Source organism: Homo sapiens, chromosome 8 (assembly GCF_000001405.40).
Source record: "Homo sapiens chromosome 8, GRCh38.p14 Primary Assembly".
In the NCBI taxonomy this organism is placed as follows: Eukaryota; Metazoa; Chordata; class Mammalia; order Primates; family Hominidae; genus Homo; species Homo sapiens.
Window position 1 is genome coordinate 17,541,595 of NC_000008.11, and position 14,294 is coordinate 17,555,888.

General features: G+C 39.2%; 1 protein-coding gene across 12 annotated transcripts in view; it reads left to right on the plus strand.

The window, feature by feature from the left end:
* SLC7A2 (solute carrier family 7 member 2) overlaps window positions 1-14,294 on the plus strand; it is a 76,498-nt gene that overhangs the window by 47,526 nt on the left and 14,678 nt on the right. For 8 of the 12 annotated variants that reach the window (XM_047422113.1, XM_047422114.1, XM_017013746.2 and 5 more), the window contains 6 exons: window positions 1,724-2,121; window positions 2,857-3,012; window positions 7,084-7,249; window positions 8,707-8,840; window positions 10,170-10,392; window positions 12,966-13,105. In XM_047422113.1, coding sequence (XP_047278069.1) covers window positions 1,746-2,121; window positions 2,857-3,012; window positions 7,084-7,249; window positions 8,707-8,840; window positions 10,170-10,392; window positions 12,966-13,105 — 1,195 coding nt within the window. In that variant the 5' untranslated portion in view covers window positions 1,724-1,745. Of the gene's footprint in view, window positions 1-1,723; window positions 2,122-2,856; window positions 3,013-7,083; window positions 7,250-8,706; window positions 8,841-10,169; window positions 10,393-12,965; window positions 13,106-13,351; window positions 13,489-14,294 lie in introns of all 12 variants that reach the window. The other 4 variants (NM_001370337.1, XM_047422115.1, XM_047422116.1 and 1 more) reach the window with 1 other exon arrangement.

Below are 14,294 nucleotides of genomic sequence, written 5' to 3' on the forward strand. Positions count from 1 at the left end.
TATTTATATTTATATTGATGTGTGGATAATGTTCCTCAGTTATTTTCTCATCTGTTGACTTATATGTTTTGGTAGACAATCCCATGTACAGCTCTTTCATTTTTGATATTTCTTTTGCATATAAGTTGTACATATTCATTGGAGACAAATTAGAAATAGGTATTAGCAATGTAACATATGAAATACAGAGAAGAACCCACCATCTAAATATAATTACTGTTGATATTTTGAATGTTTTGCTTTAAGTCTTTTTACTGTAATATATGCCTATGTATTTTTTCTTAACTAATATTCACACCTTGTTTTATAACCTGATTTTTTTTCAGTGTTAGATTGTTTAGGCTTGCAGGAGGTGGGGAGTGTGACTTTTTGTCTACTTTATTCATTCCATTTTTAAAAGAACATAGAATAATATTTGGCATGGACTTTGGACTTATTTATCTAGAAATCTCAAATATAATAAGCATGTGTATTTTAGTACAAATTCATACTTAAAGCATAGTTGAATAGCACTTTTAGATTTCAGCAGGCCTTGAGAGGTGATTTTTTAAAAATTCTAAAAAGTTCACATCTGCTTCACATTCATTGTTTAAAATGAAAACAGAGAAGCTCACACATGCTTGATAAAGCTGTAGAATACGTAATGATTAAGTTTTTACGTGCTTTTAGATGATAGCTAAGTCCTGTAAGGCTAGAGACCCCATCTATGTAAGAGATCATTCTACACATATTCCCAGCACAATTCCTGGTATTTAGTAAGGCCTGAAAAATCTGGGCCAGGCATGGTGGTTCATGCGTGTAATCCCAGCACTTTGGGAGGCCAAGGAGGTAGGACTGCGTGAGCCCATGAATTCAAGACCAGCATGGGCAACATAGTGAGACCCTGTCTCTACGAAAAATAAAGAAGTTACCCGAGCGTGGTGGCACATGCCTGTGGTCCCAGCTACTCAGTAGACTAAGGCGAGAGGATTGATTGAGCCCAGGAAGTTGAGGCTTCAGTGAGCTATGATCACGCCACTGTGCTGCAGCCTGGGTGACAGAGTGAGACCCTGTCTCAAAAAAAAAAGAAAAAGAACCTGAGTTAAATGGATGGTTGAAGTAAAGAGAGACAGAACCCAAAAGATGAGGCAATTCACTCCTTTCCTTGTAGTGAGAATGAAATTAGCCATCTCTTGAAATATATTTCTATCAACATATCCTTAGGAAATTTTTAGCTTGGACATGGTGGCTCACACCTGTAACCCCGAGGTTGAGCTACTCCGGAGGCTGAGGTGGGAGGATTGTTTGAGCCCAGGAGGTTGAGGCTGCAGTGAGCCAAGATTGTGCCACTGCCCTCCAGCCTGGGCGACAGAGTGAGATCCTGTTTCCAAACAAAAACAGAAACACAAAATTATAATATGCAAACAAGAATGGCAAATCTTTTTAATCACCCAAGGCTGCTATATTCCTTTGCTTGCCACATAAGCCATTTATTGCAGTCTCTTATAAGGGGACGTGTATGCTACAGGAAATTGAACTACAGGAAATTCGAGGCTCTGGTTATTAAACCTTCCTTCTGACTGCTCTGGGTCACTGCATCTCTTCTAACAAGTGAAACACACACACACACACACACACACACAAACACACACACACACATACTCTAATTGTGCCTGGAAGCTAGGTTACCAAAGGGAGGGATGACAATTCCAGATCAGCTTCTAACCTCCTCCCTTCTGCTCAGGTCGCCTTCGTCAGACGTCAGAATGATTCCTTGCAGAGCCGCGCTGACCTTTGCCCGATGTCTGATCCGGAGAAAAATCGTGACCCTGGACAGTCTAGAAGACACCAAATTATGCCGCTGCTTATCCACCATGGACCTCATTGCCCTGGGCGTTGGAAGCACCCTTGGGGCCGGGGTTTATGTCCTCGCTGGGGAGGTGGCCAAGGCAGACTCGGGCCCCAGCATCGTGGTGTCCTTCCTCATTGCTGCCCTGGCTTCAGTGATGGCTGGCCTCTGCTATGCCGAATTTGGGGCCCGTGTTCCCAAGACGGGGTCTGCATATTTGTACACCTACGTGACTGTCGGAGAGCTGTGGGCCTTCATCACTGGCTGGAATCTCATTTTATCGTATGTGATAGGTATGTTTCAAAAAGAAATCTAACTTGTGTGGAATGGAAGAAATCGCAGCCCTGAGTCACAGCCCTTAGGTTCAGTTGTAGGTGTTGGGTACATCACTTGATGTCTGTGTGTCTCATTTTTGTCATCTCGAAAATGTCTCCTTCTAATTACAAAATTCTGTGGGTTTTTTTTAAGACAGTCTCACTCTGTCGCCCAGGCTTGAAGTGCAGTGGCGTGATCTCAGCTCGCTGCAACCTCTGCCTCCTGGCTTCAAGCGATTCTCCTGCTTCAGCCTCCTGAGTAGCTGGGATTACAGGCACCTGCCACCATGCCTGGCTAATTTTTTGCATTTTTAGTAAAGACGGGGTTTCACCATGTTGACCAAGCTGGTCTCGAACTCCTGACCTCAGGTGATCCACTCACCTCGGCCTCCCAAAGTGCTGGGATTGCAGGTGTGAGCCACGGCACCCGGCCACAAAATTCTGTGATTTTTGCTTCATCTCTGACTATGCCTTTTAGTGGGCTTGCAAACTTTTTAAGTTATAATTCTTTATTGCAAATAAAGTTACCTGATTCCAGAGTTATGGATTTGAACATTTGATGACTACTGTATGATTATAAATATCCAGATACTGTATATGTGATTAAAATTTTCAATCTTTTGTGAACTCATGTTTATCCTATAATAGAGTAGCAAATGATGCTACTTTAATTTGCCCCCAGTGACTTCGTATTCTCTGTTCTGTTTTGGGAAGGTACATCAAGTGTTGCAAGAGCCTGGAGTGGCACCTTTGATGAACTTCTTAGCAAACAGATTGGTCAGTTTTTGAGGACATACTTCAGAATGAATTACACTGGTCTTGCAGAATATCCCGATTTTTTTGCTGTGTGCCTTATATTACTTCTAGCAGGTAAGAAAACCAGTTATGAGTCTCTGCAGAATGAGCCACACTATTTGTCTCAGGAAAATAGGTTACTTCTGAATTTGGGGCCTGAGTTCCCAAGATGAGATTAGTATATTTACACATTTATGTCACTGTTAGACATCTGTGGGGTTTATCACTGGCTGGAATCACATTTTAACCTAAGTCTAAATTGTGTGCAATGGTAAAAATAGCACTTCTGAGTAAATGGCACCTGGTACACACTAAATAATAGGATGAGGACATTGATTTTTTAAATCGTTAATTGCAGGTTTGCAGGAATAGCGGTGGTTTCAGTAAGGAAGAATGTGTAATTTCTTGGCATTATTTCATCTTGCTAGATACAACTAGGGATATTTGCAATTTCTAGAAGAATTTCTGTTTTTCTGACATGGCTTCATCTATATAATGTAGGCCTTTGATTGTAAAGGAAGCAAGTTCTAATCACCTGTCATTTTGTAATGTCGACATTATATAGGCAAACATACTTAGTACTAGGATTTTCCAGTTTTTGTCAGTATTGTAGCATAGTGGTTTTAGGAGGCACAGGAATTCTAATAACCACATTTCAATCCTGCTGTGCCACTCACTCTGCTTTAGAACATAGAACAATTTATTTAATCTTTCCCTCACTCGTACATAAAATGAGGGCATCAGTGTCTGCCTCCTATAGCCTTCTCGTTTGGTTCCTAGTAAGCACTCACGTGGTGGCTGATTTTATTTCATAGGCATAGCTAATCCCTGCTCTGTCTCCTTATATTTGTTTTAACTATTTGAACATTTTCTTTTTTTTTTTTTTTTTTTTTTTTTGAGATGGAGTCTGACTCTGTCGCCCAGGCTGGAGTACAGTGGTACTGCAACCTCCGTCTCCCGGGTGCAAGCGATTCTTCTGCCTCAGCCTCCTGAGTAGCTGGGACTACAGGTGCGCGCCACCGCACCTGGCTGATTTTTGTATTTTTAGTAGAGACGGGGTTTCACTATGTTGGCCAGGCTGGTCTCAAACTCCTGACCTCAAGTGATCCCCCTGCCTCAGCCTCCCAAAGTGCTGGGATTACAGGCGTGAGCCACCATGCCTGGCCACGTTTTCTCTTTTGAGTCTCCTTCTTACCTGCAGTCCTGCTTATGTCCATCAAGGATTGCCCTAAGAGTAAAAACCATGTCTGTTCCTACTTCTTCCTTGCTTTACCCTGGGCAGTCTGCCTCATGCTTTCTTGTCCGACCTTATCTCTGTTTTCTCCCTTGTTAGAAGAGTGAGACAGAAATATCTTTCTCTTTTGAAATGTTTACTCAAAAATTATATAATTTTAAAAATAGCTTTACCCTTTAAAAAGTGAGTCATTAATCAAATGTTTTACATACGGATAGGGATAAGAACATGAACAAAGTGCGTAGATCTAAAATGTTTTGCATTTTGAGTCTAATGTCAAGAGAAGTTGCACCAATTGTTTTTCAACAAAGAATTGATTTTTGTTTTGGTTTCTAAGCAGTCTAGCTTAGAAATAGAAACCAGTCTAGCGTTAAATTATTTCCATCATATTTTATTTAGGGATCATTTTAATGAACTTAAAATATTCAACTTTAATCTCTAAATGACGAAGAGCATGTAGCTGTGACACAATTAGAACATAGTTTAATTCCACAGCAAGACTCAGGTCTTGGCTCATTTGTCCTGTGTTCATTCACCATCATATCTTTCCTTTAATTATAGGTGAAGCTTATGTTTTAACTTTGTTCTTAGAATCTCTGAAGATCAAAACCTCCTATGTAAATCCCTATTCATATCGTAACACCAAATGTCTTTTTACGTGAAGCCGTTGTTTTACTAAAGATACACGGGAAGTGTATGCTCTGCTTAGATGAGATATTCATTGGTGTCTAATCTTCCGGTGGGAGATGAGACCTCAGAGTAGACAGTGCATATATGCTGTTGGGAAACTTACATGAAATATAAAGGTGGCTTTGTTATTCTCTGAGGTATATAGCAGTGGTTCCTAACCTAACTTACAATTACAGAGTCAGGAATTGTGTTGACCATACAGCTTTCCTTTATATGGTTAATATATGATTCTAGGAATTACACAGGTAGAAATAAAATTCAAGTTCTTTCATCTCTGCTTGGAAAAATTTGCTTTTTTGATGGTGGGTGGTATAGATACGGGGAACAAACAACTAAATCTGTGGCATCATCTTTTCACAGCAATCATTTGCTCAATGGTAAAAGATAAACTTTCTTAGGTCCGTAATTCAAATCTTATACCAGATGGGTTAAAGATATACATATGATAAATATAATTAGAAAAATACTAGAAGGAAGCAAAGTAGGTGTTTTGGGTTAATGTTTAAGAGATTTTTTTCAAGGTAGAAACTAAAAAGGGAAAATTTATTTTTCAGTCTGATAACTTTTCTACATGTACATAATCTGTTGTACATGGCAGGTAGAGAGCTTATGGCATTAATATATAAATAAATTTTATAAATCAATGTATTAGTCCATTTTCATACTGCTATGAAGAAATACCCAAGACTTGGTAATTTATGAAGAAAAAGAGGTTTAATGGACTCACAGTTCCACATGGTTGGGGAGGCCTCACAGTCATGGTGGAAGGTGACCGAGTAGGGAAAGAACGTCTCACGGGGTGTCAGGCAAGAGAGCATGTGCAGGGGAACTGCCCTTTATAAAACCATCAGATCTCATGAGGTGTATTCAGTATCATGAGAACAGCACAGAAAACCTGCCCCCATGATTCAGTTACCTCCCACTGGGTCCCTCCCATGATACATGGGGATTATGGGAGTTACAATTCAAGATGAGATTTGGGTGGGGACACAGCCAAATCATATAATCAATATGAATAGAATATCCTAATAGAAAAAATAGATACTTTAAATTGAGCCAAACTTTCCAGAGAATATTTTGATAATAGGAACCAACAGTCCATATCTTTGATGCAGTATTACTTTGCAGAAAATTGTTGTATAGAAGTAAATGGAAAGTGTAGAAAGATATTTATAAAAGAATTATTATGTCAGTGCTATTTATAATTGTAACAAACAAAGAGTGATCTAATTGTCTATAAATAAGGGATGAATTAAAGTGTAGTACCTCAATATAGTCGAAGATTATGCAGCTGTTAAAAATGAGATTATATATTTACTGGCACAAAAGAGTGTGTGTGTGTGTGTGTGTGTGTGTGTGTGTGTGTGTTTACAAAATTTGGGAGGGAAAAGCACGGTTGATCTTTTTATATTTTTTTCTGTGTCTTCAAAGTACTTGAATAGAAATTGATCACTTTTGCAATCAGAATATACAGCTATTAAAATGAGAATAGGTTTAACAAAGTACTTTTTTGGCACAATTGAAGTATTATCTTTGTTTATGTATTTTGTGTGCATGGCAGACAAATGTTTTAGCGTTTACTTTTTAAAAGTTCGCAACTGGGCCGGGCATTGTGGCTTAAGTGCCTGTAATTCCAGTACTTTGGGAGGCTGAGGCAGGCAGATCACTTGAGGTCTGGAGTTCTAGACTAGCCTGGCCAGCATGGCGAAACCCCAACCCTACGAAAAATACAAAAATTAGCCAGACATGGTGGCACACACCTGTAGTCCCAGCTACTCAGGTGGCTGAGGTGAGAGAATTGTTTGAGCACAGGTGGCAGAGGTTGCAGTGAGCCGAGATCATACCACTGCACTTCTGCCAGGGAAACAGAGCGAGACTCTGTCTCAAAAAAAGAAAAAATAGTTTGCAACCATTTACCTTGAAATTAGATGTTACTTTACCTATCACTGGCAAAGATGGCCAAAGTTACTAGATTTATGTTTCTTAGAAAGTGTAGTGTCTTCTATGAGCATGACCTGCCTCCGAAATTGAGTTGGTTGCATTCAGAAGACATTTCAGAATTAGGTAATTAACTAATGAGTAAGAACTAGCAGTAGAGGTAGATAGATGGAAATTAAAGACATGAATGCTGGTGAAATAATATCCTAAAGTCATGTATTTGCCTCAAAATGCTATTGCCTTTCCTAAAGCTAAATAAAAATTGAAATGCCCTTTTTCCATAGGTCTTTTGTCTTTTGGAGTAAAAGAGTCTGCTTGGGTGAATAAAGTCTTCACAGCTGTTAATATTCTCGTCCTTCTGTTTGTGATGGTTGCTGGGTTTGTGAAAGGAAATGTGGCAAACTGGAAGATTAGTGAAGAGTTTCTCAAAAATATATCAGCAAGTGCCAGGTAAAATATTTGAGGTTTTTTTTTTTCTCCTTCTTGTTTAAGAAAATATTTTAAGTGGGTGTATTAGTTCATTTTTACTCTGCTAATAAAGACATACCCATGACTGGGTAATTTATAAGGAAAAAGAGATTTAATGGACTCACAGTTCCACATGGCTGGGGAAGCCTCACAATCGTGGCGGAAGGTGAAAGGCATGTCTCACATGGTGGCAGACAAGAGGAGAGAACTTGTGCAGGGAAACTCTCCCTTATAAAACCATCAGCTCTTGTGAGACCCACTCACCATCACAAGAACAGCACAGGAAAGACCTGCCCCCATGATTCAACCACCTCCCACTGGGTCCCTGCCACAACACATGGGAACTGTGGGAGCCACAATCCAAGATGAGATTGGGTGGGGACACAGCCAAACCATACCAGAAGGCATATGTGGGTTTTCTTCTAGAGCAGTGGTTCTCAAATTTCTTGCTTCTGAGACCCTTCTGAGAGACTGTTCCATTCCAAGACCCCTCTTCCCAGATTCCCTTCAAACTTAAAGGTATAGGTATGCTCCTTTTGGAGCAACTGTGTGAACCCATGCAGCTGCTGGTTCCCAGCCTCAAGCTCTGCTCCGGGTTTAGGGAAAGAGCAAGGGAAGATCCTAACCATTGGAAAAACTTGATCTTTTCCCCCCAGCAGTTTGCCACCACTAAATAACAATGAGTATTTTTGAGTCCTGCATCCTTTAGTTCTTCCTTCAGGACCACCATTCAGTTTTATTGTATTCTCTTAATGCTTTAGTAATCTTCAGACCTTGTTTTTTGGAGAATGTTGTTAGTTGCACAAGCAGACATAAGATTACACAAATATCTATTGCATGGAATGGGGTACACCTGTATGTTTTTCTTGACAGAGGTTGTTTAGTCATTCCAATAAGGGAAAAAATTGGTATCCTATAAACTTACATAGTTTTTAACATATAATAAAATATTCAATTTCATTATTATCAATCAAGACTAGGAAGTTTTGTTTCGTGTTTTTAAATGTCTTCTTAGGGAATGTTAGAGACATATACTCTGCCTTACTCGATGCTTTATGAATTGAAGAATGAATTCTCCTAAGAATAAGCATCCATGAGAAGAAGAGGTTTCTGGTCTTTGTCCCAGAGCATGGCTCGTATGTGGAATCTCTGCTCTCAAAATCCTCCCTGGCTGTGGGTTCAGCTGGAGCAGGTCTGGGGCTTCTACATGTGCTATCAATCAGCCTGTAATTGGGTGTCAGTGACACAGGAGGGTCACTGTTAGTGGCACCACCACATTCTGTAGCACAGGGTGAGAGAGTAAAGTTTTAATTTTATGTATATCATCTTCAAAGAGCTAATAAACACAACCACCTTCCAAGGATATAGTCTGAGAAAAGTCACCAGAAGGAGAGTTTTCTGTCAAAGTGACTTTCCAATGTGTTTGTTCTCTTTCTTAGAGAGCCACCTTCTGAAAACGGAACAAGTATCTATGGGGCTGGTGGCTTTATGCCTTATGGCTTTACGGGAACGTTGGCTGGTGCTGCAACTTGCTTTTATGCCTTTGTGGGATTTGACTGCATTGCAACAACTGGTAAGAGCAGTGTCTTGGCTCAGTGTAGAAGGAGTGTTCCTTGTTGTGCACGAGTACCCGTGTGTGGTAGCAGAGGGTCCAGGAAAGAGAGAGGGATTTCGGGTAAGAAGGGCACTAGTTCCAGGCCCAGCTGTGACACGTGCTGCTGATGATAAAAAGAAAGAATGCAACTCTCTGCCCTTGGTTTCCAGTTAGTAAGTTTGGGAGAGCAATTCCTACTCTTCAAATAGTAGGAAGATTACCTAAAATAATGCATATGAAAAATACTTTGCCAGCTGTTGATTACTTTATAAATGTGAGTCATTATTACCATCCCTAACCTTCAGTCCAGAAGTGCTGTCACATGGGCCATACATGATGATCATGTTCTTAAATGGTCTCTTTGTTAGTGGGAGAAAAAATATTGTGTCAGTTCTTTCTATGTTATCTTATACAACATCATAATCATGCCGGAGTCACTCTCTAAATGCCTCCTCTATTTTTACGTCATAGTGTGGCCATACAATTGACCACATTTTGAGTATTCAGTCTCATTAGTGTACAAAGTATACTGTTTTTTAAATTGAAATTAGAACTTTGTACAAATAGGTGAAATAACTTCATCTGAAGCCTTGATACTTAAGGGCCTACCGAATGGCACAGCAGTCATTTAATCTCTGTAGATGAATCATTTTCCAAATGGATTAAGACTGCTATTCTATCGCTGAACACTTAGTAGTGCTGCTATGTTACGGGTTTTGGTTGGTTGGTTGGTTTTTTTCTTTCCTGGCGATAGGAAACTGACTGGCATGACTTCTCCTCTTCTCCCTCTGGGAATCGGATTTTTACGTAATAAGAAAGTACCTTCAAGAATAGAGGAAATTTCATGTAAAACAGATGGATCAGCTGGGCACAGTGGCTCACGCCTGTAATCCCAATCTTTGGGACATTGAGGAGGGTGGATCACTTGAGGCCAGGAATTAGAGACTAGACTGGCCAACATGGTGCAAACCATCTCTACTAAAATACAAAAATTAGCCAGGTGTGGTGGCGCACACCCGTGGTCCCAGCTACTCGGGAGGCTGAGGCAGGAGAATTGCTTGAACCTGGGAGGCGTGAGGTTGCAGTGAGTCAAGATCACGCCACTGCACTCCAGCCTGGGCAACAGAGCAAGACTCTGTCTCAAAAATAAGTAAAATAAAATGAAATAAAATAGATGGACCAAGATAAGAAAAGGGACAAAAGCAGAGGAGAACTACCCTGGAGAAGAGGAAGAATTTCACACAATTTAATTTCTTTACCTGTTGATGTTTTATTAAGCATACACATCTTTTGTTTATATTTCCTTAGGTGAAGAAGTTCGGAATCCCCAGAAAGCTATTCCCATTGGAATTGTGACGTCTTTGCTTGTTTGCTTTATGGCCTATTTTGGGGTCTCTGCAGCTTTAACACTTATGATGCCGTACTACCTCCTCGATGAAAAAAGCCCCCTTCCTGTAGCGTTTGAATATGTGGGATGGGGTCCTGCCAAATATGTCGTCGCAGCTGGTTCTCTCTGCGCCTTGTCAACAAGGTACATTGCATCGCCTTTGGGGCACGGGCTGTTTGGGACTCTACAAAGTAGTCAGTGTCTAAAAATTTGCTTTTGTCTGTTTAAAAAGTATCCTAATAGAAACAAAATATTATGCAACTTTGTATTTATTGATTGGCTTGCTCAGAATTTCCACATAAAAATCTTAAAGGATAAACTCCCCTGCTGTTAGTTGAGTCAGTTTTTTAAGATAGTGATGGTCCAGGCTTCAGTAGAAATACATATGGCATTGATACACACAGACACACACACACACACACAAATATATCTGTGGCATGTAGTCATGTATATAGGCATTATGAAACTTCAGGATTCTTGTCCTAAAATCTTTCTCTATTGGCGTTGGTGATACTTGTAGTTCTTCAGACATCTGAGAATGTATGTACAGACCTTGCATTTGCCACACTCTGTTCAAGTAATACTGAGCCTGTGGGAGTGGACACTTATGCTCTGTCTTTTAAAAATATAATGTGCTTTTTATTGTGAAACATGGAGACTTTTTCTTCTTAGCACCAATCAGAGTGAAGTTGGTCTAGAAATAGAAATTATCATTCTTAAATAAATGGTGGAAATTCATATAAATATGTGAAGGGAAGCACCAATCAGAGTGAAGTTGGTCTAGAAATAGAAATTATCATTCTTAAATAAATGGTGGAAATTCATATAAATATGTGAAGGGAAAAGGGTCATTGAATCCCAAGTTTTCAGATTTTCAGTAGCTGCTTGTTTGAATACTTTAGAACTCATTTCCCAGGTTTCCTCAGCTACCCTTATTTCAATTAACATATGAGTCAGATATTTCGTTCTAGTTTTTTATCATGCCACATGGTAGAAGAGTCTTGCAAAGAGAAAATTAATCTTTTTGGCAGATTAGTAATTTTTTAACTGAAAATAAGGTTCTGAAAGTCTGAAACTAGAAAAAGAAGTCTTTTAGTGTAATTCACCAGCCTAGCTTTATTTTTTCCCTTCAAACTCCCTTTTATTTTCTAGTTAAGACAATATTGAGTAGCAATTAGACACTCTTGGTTTCTCAGCCATCTGCTAGTGTTGAGGTTTATTTATTTATTTGAGACAGGGTCTTGCTCTGTCAAGCAGGCTGAAGTGCAGAGCATAATCATAGTTCACTGAGGCTCGAACTCCTGGGTTCAAGTGATCTCCCCAGTTCAGCCTCCTGAGTAGCTAGGATACAGGCACGTAACACCATACCTGGTTAATTTTTTATTTTCTATAGAGAGGAGGTCTCGCTAAGTTCCCGAGGCTGGTCTTGAACTCCTGGGCTCAAGCTATCCTCTCACCTCAGCCTCCCAAAGTGTTGGGATTACAGGCATGAGCCACCACACCCGGCCTTGAGGTTTATTTTGAATAGCTTCAAGTAATTTCAAAAGTCTGAACTGTGAAGATACCGTGCTACCATGGCCTTAGAAGGGATGGACAAAGATTCATCTATGGCCAAGCTCAACAGAGCCTTATTAAAGATAAAGAAGGGCCAGGCACAGTGGTTCACTCTTGTAGTCCCAGCACTTTGGGACACCGAGGCGGGAGGATCACTTACGGCAAAGAGTTCAAGACCAGCCTGGGCAACGTAGCAAGGCTCGGTCTCCACAAAAAATTCAAGAAATTAGCTGAGCATGGTGGCATGCGCCTTTAGTCCCAGTCCCAGTTACTTGAAAGACTGAGGTGGGAGGATCGCTTGAGCCCAGGAGTTTGAGGGCACAGTGAGCTATGATCGTACTACTGCACTCCATCCTGGGTGACAGAGTGAGTCCCTGTCGCAAATAAAATAAATCAATAAGAAGGATTTTTAAATAAAATACTTTTTTTGTTTTCTCTTACATGGTTATTTTTCACAACTAAGTAATGTGTGAAATGGTGCAGCTAGTAAACAAAAGTACTTCCGAACATCTCAAGCAAAAACTGTCTTACTAAACTTCAGCTGCTAACTTTTCACTGTGGCCACATCTGTATACTACATTTACGTAAATTGATCTTCTTTCCCTTCTTCTACCTTGATTATCTTATGATGCTGGGGATTATTACTAACTTGATCCAAGATCAGGGTGTATGAGAAAAAATACTGGTACAATAAATGCAAAAAATATATCATTATTGAATAAAGGTTGCAACTATTGCTTATGAAATAAAATTACTTAGTCTTTTCTTTAATTACATATCAAATTAGTAATTTTATTTTCCAAGTTGTTGCTGCTAAAAATGTCTTAATAATATTGGTTTGGTTAAGTCTTAATTATTTAGTTTTAATTTGGTAATAATTGTGGGTACACACAAATTACTTGCAATATTGTTTTTAGTCTGATAATTTTGCTGCGTACTTATCTGTAACAGAATAATGAATAGCACAATGGTAAATATTAGCAAATTTTTTAAATGCCCTATCATAGTGCATTTAAAAAATAATGACATAATTATTAATATAAATAATATGACTTCATAATTACAACTGTCATGCTGAATATTATACAATTATTTTATTTCCGTTCGGGGATGTAATCTTGCATGAATGTTTGCCATACTGCATGTGTTTGCTTTTTATTCAGTCTTCTTGGATCCATTTTCCCAATGCCTCGTGTAATCTATGCTATGGCGGAGGATGGGTTGCTTTTCAAATGTCTAGCTCAAATCAATTCCAAAACGAAGACACCAATAATTGCTACTTTATCATCGGGTGCAGTGGCAGGTGAGAGAGAGTTGACTTTTCTTCAGAAACGGGGGATCTTTTTCATCAAGGACTCTGCATTAAAAATACAAAGCTAGGTGGTTTTCTTTTTTGATTTCCAAGAAGTTCAGTCACTTTTTTGTGAGTGTTTCCTATTTTGAATTTTTTGGTTCTGCATTTTCGTGTGTCCAGTCTTTACCTGTCTATACCTGTCTAGAATAATCCTTAAAATAACTCATGTGTGGATTTTGAATTTTTCTGTTCTAGTCTTCTGGGCTCTATGTTTCCTTTACCCCGAATTCTGTTTGCCATGGCCCGGGATGGCTTACTGTTTAGATTTCTTGCCAGAGTGAGTAAGAGGCAGTCACCAGTTGCTGCCACGTTGACTGCAGGGGTCATTTCTGGTAAGCTTTACAAACTTAGGTTTCTTGAGCATTAGACTGGAACATTTAATTCGCATGCATGGACTTATAAAGAGGGTCTGCATGCTGTGCATGTAAGTTAAAAAAAACAAAATCACTGATAAAAATTAGTATACAAGCATTGGGATTAACATGTGAAAATTGTGGTGGCGGTGGTATAATGAAGTTCATTCTTAATTGACCCTTTGGGATTTTTTTTTTACTGTTTTGTTATTTTAATCTTTTGGGCTCTAACAAATGTACAAAGGGTTATAATAGCTCTTCACTAAATATTATGAATTGCTTTTCTGATGAACTAGCACACAAAATTATATTATTGATACATAAACTTCTGATTAAGGAATTCTTGCTTAATTTTTGAAATATTAATTTTAAAATAATGATTCAATTTTTTGGTCTAGGATATACGTCGAATATTGCTAAGGGACCATAGGGTAAATTAAGCTTTACCCATTATTAATAAGAAATATTCAAGATGATTTATGCTTGGCCCTTGTGATCGCCATCCTCAGTATGGTGGGCATCCTTGCTTCCAGGGCCATCGCAGCCATCTAACAGTTAGGAACATACATATCCTCTCCAACTCCATCAGGAATCTATTTTTCCTTTCAACAGTTTTGGTACTTAAATTATGTTCAGAAAATCCAGATTGCTAGTCTTTTGGCACATCTTAATATCCATGTAAAATACCTTTGGCCAGATCCTTATCTCATGCAGAAAATTTCAGTGAGATTCTAGATCCAGACAATGGCCTTAAAGGTACTGTTACAGGAAGCAAAAGAAAGACT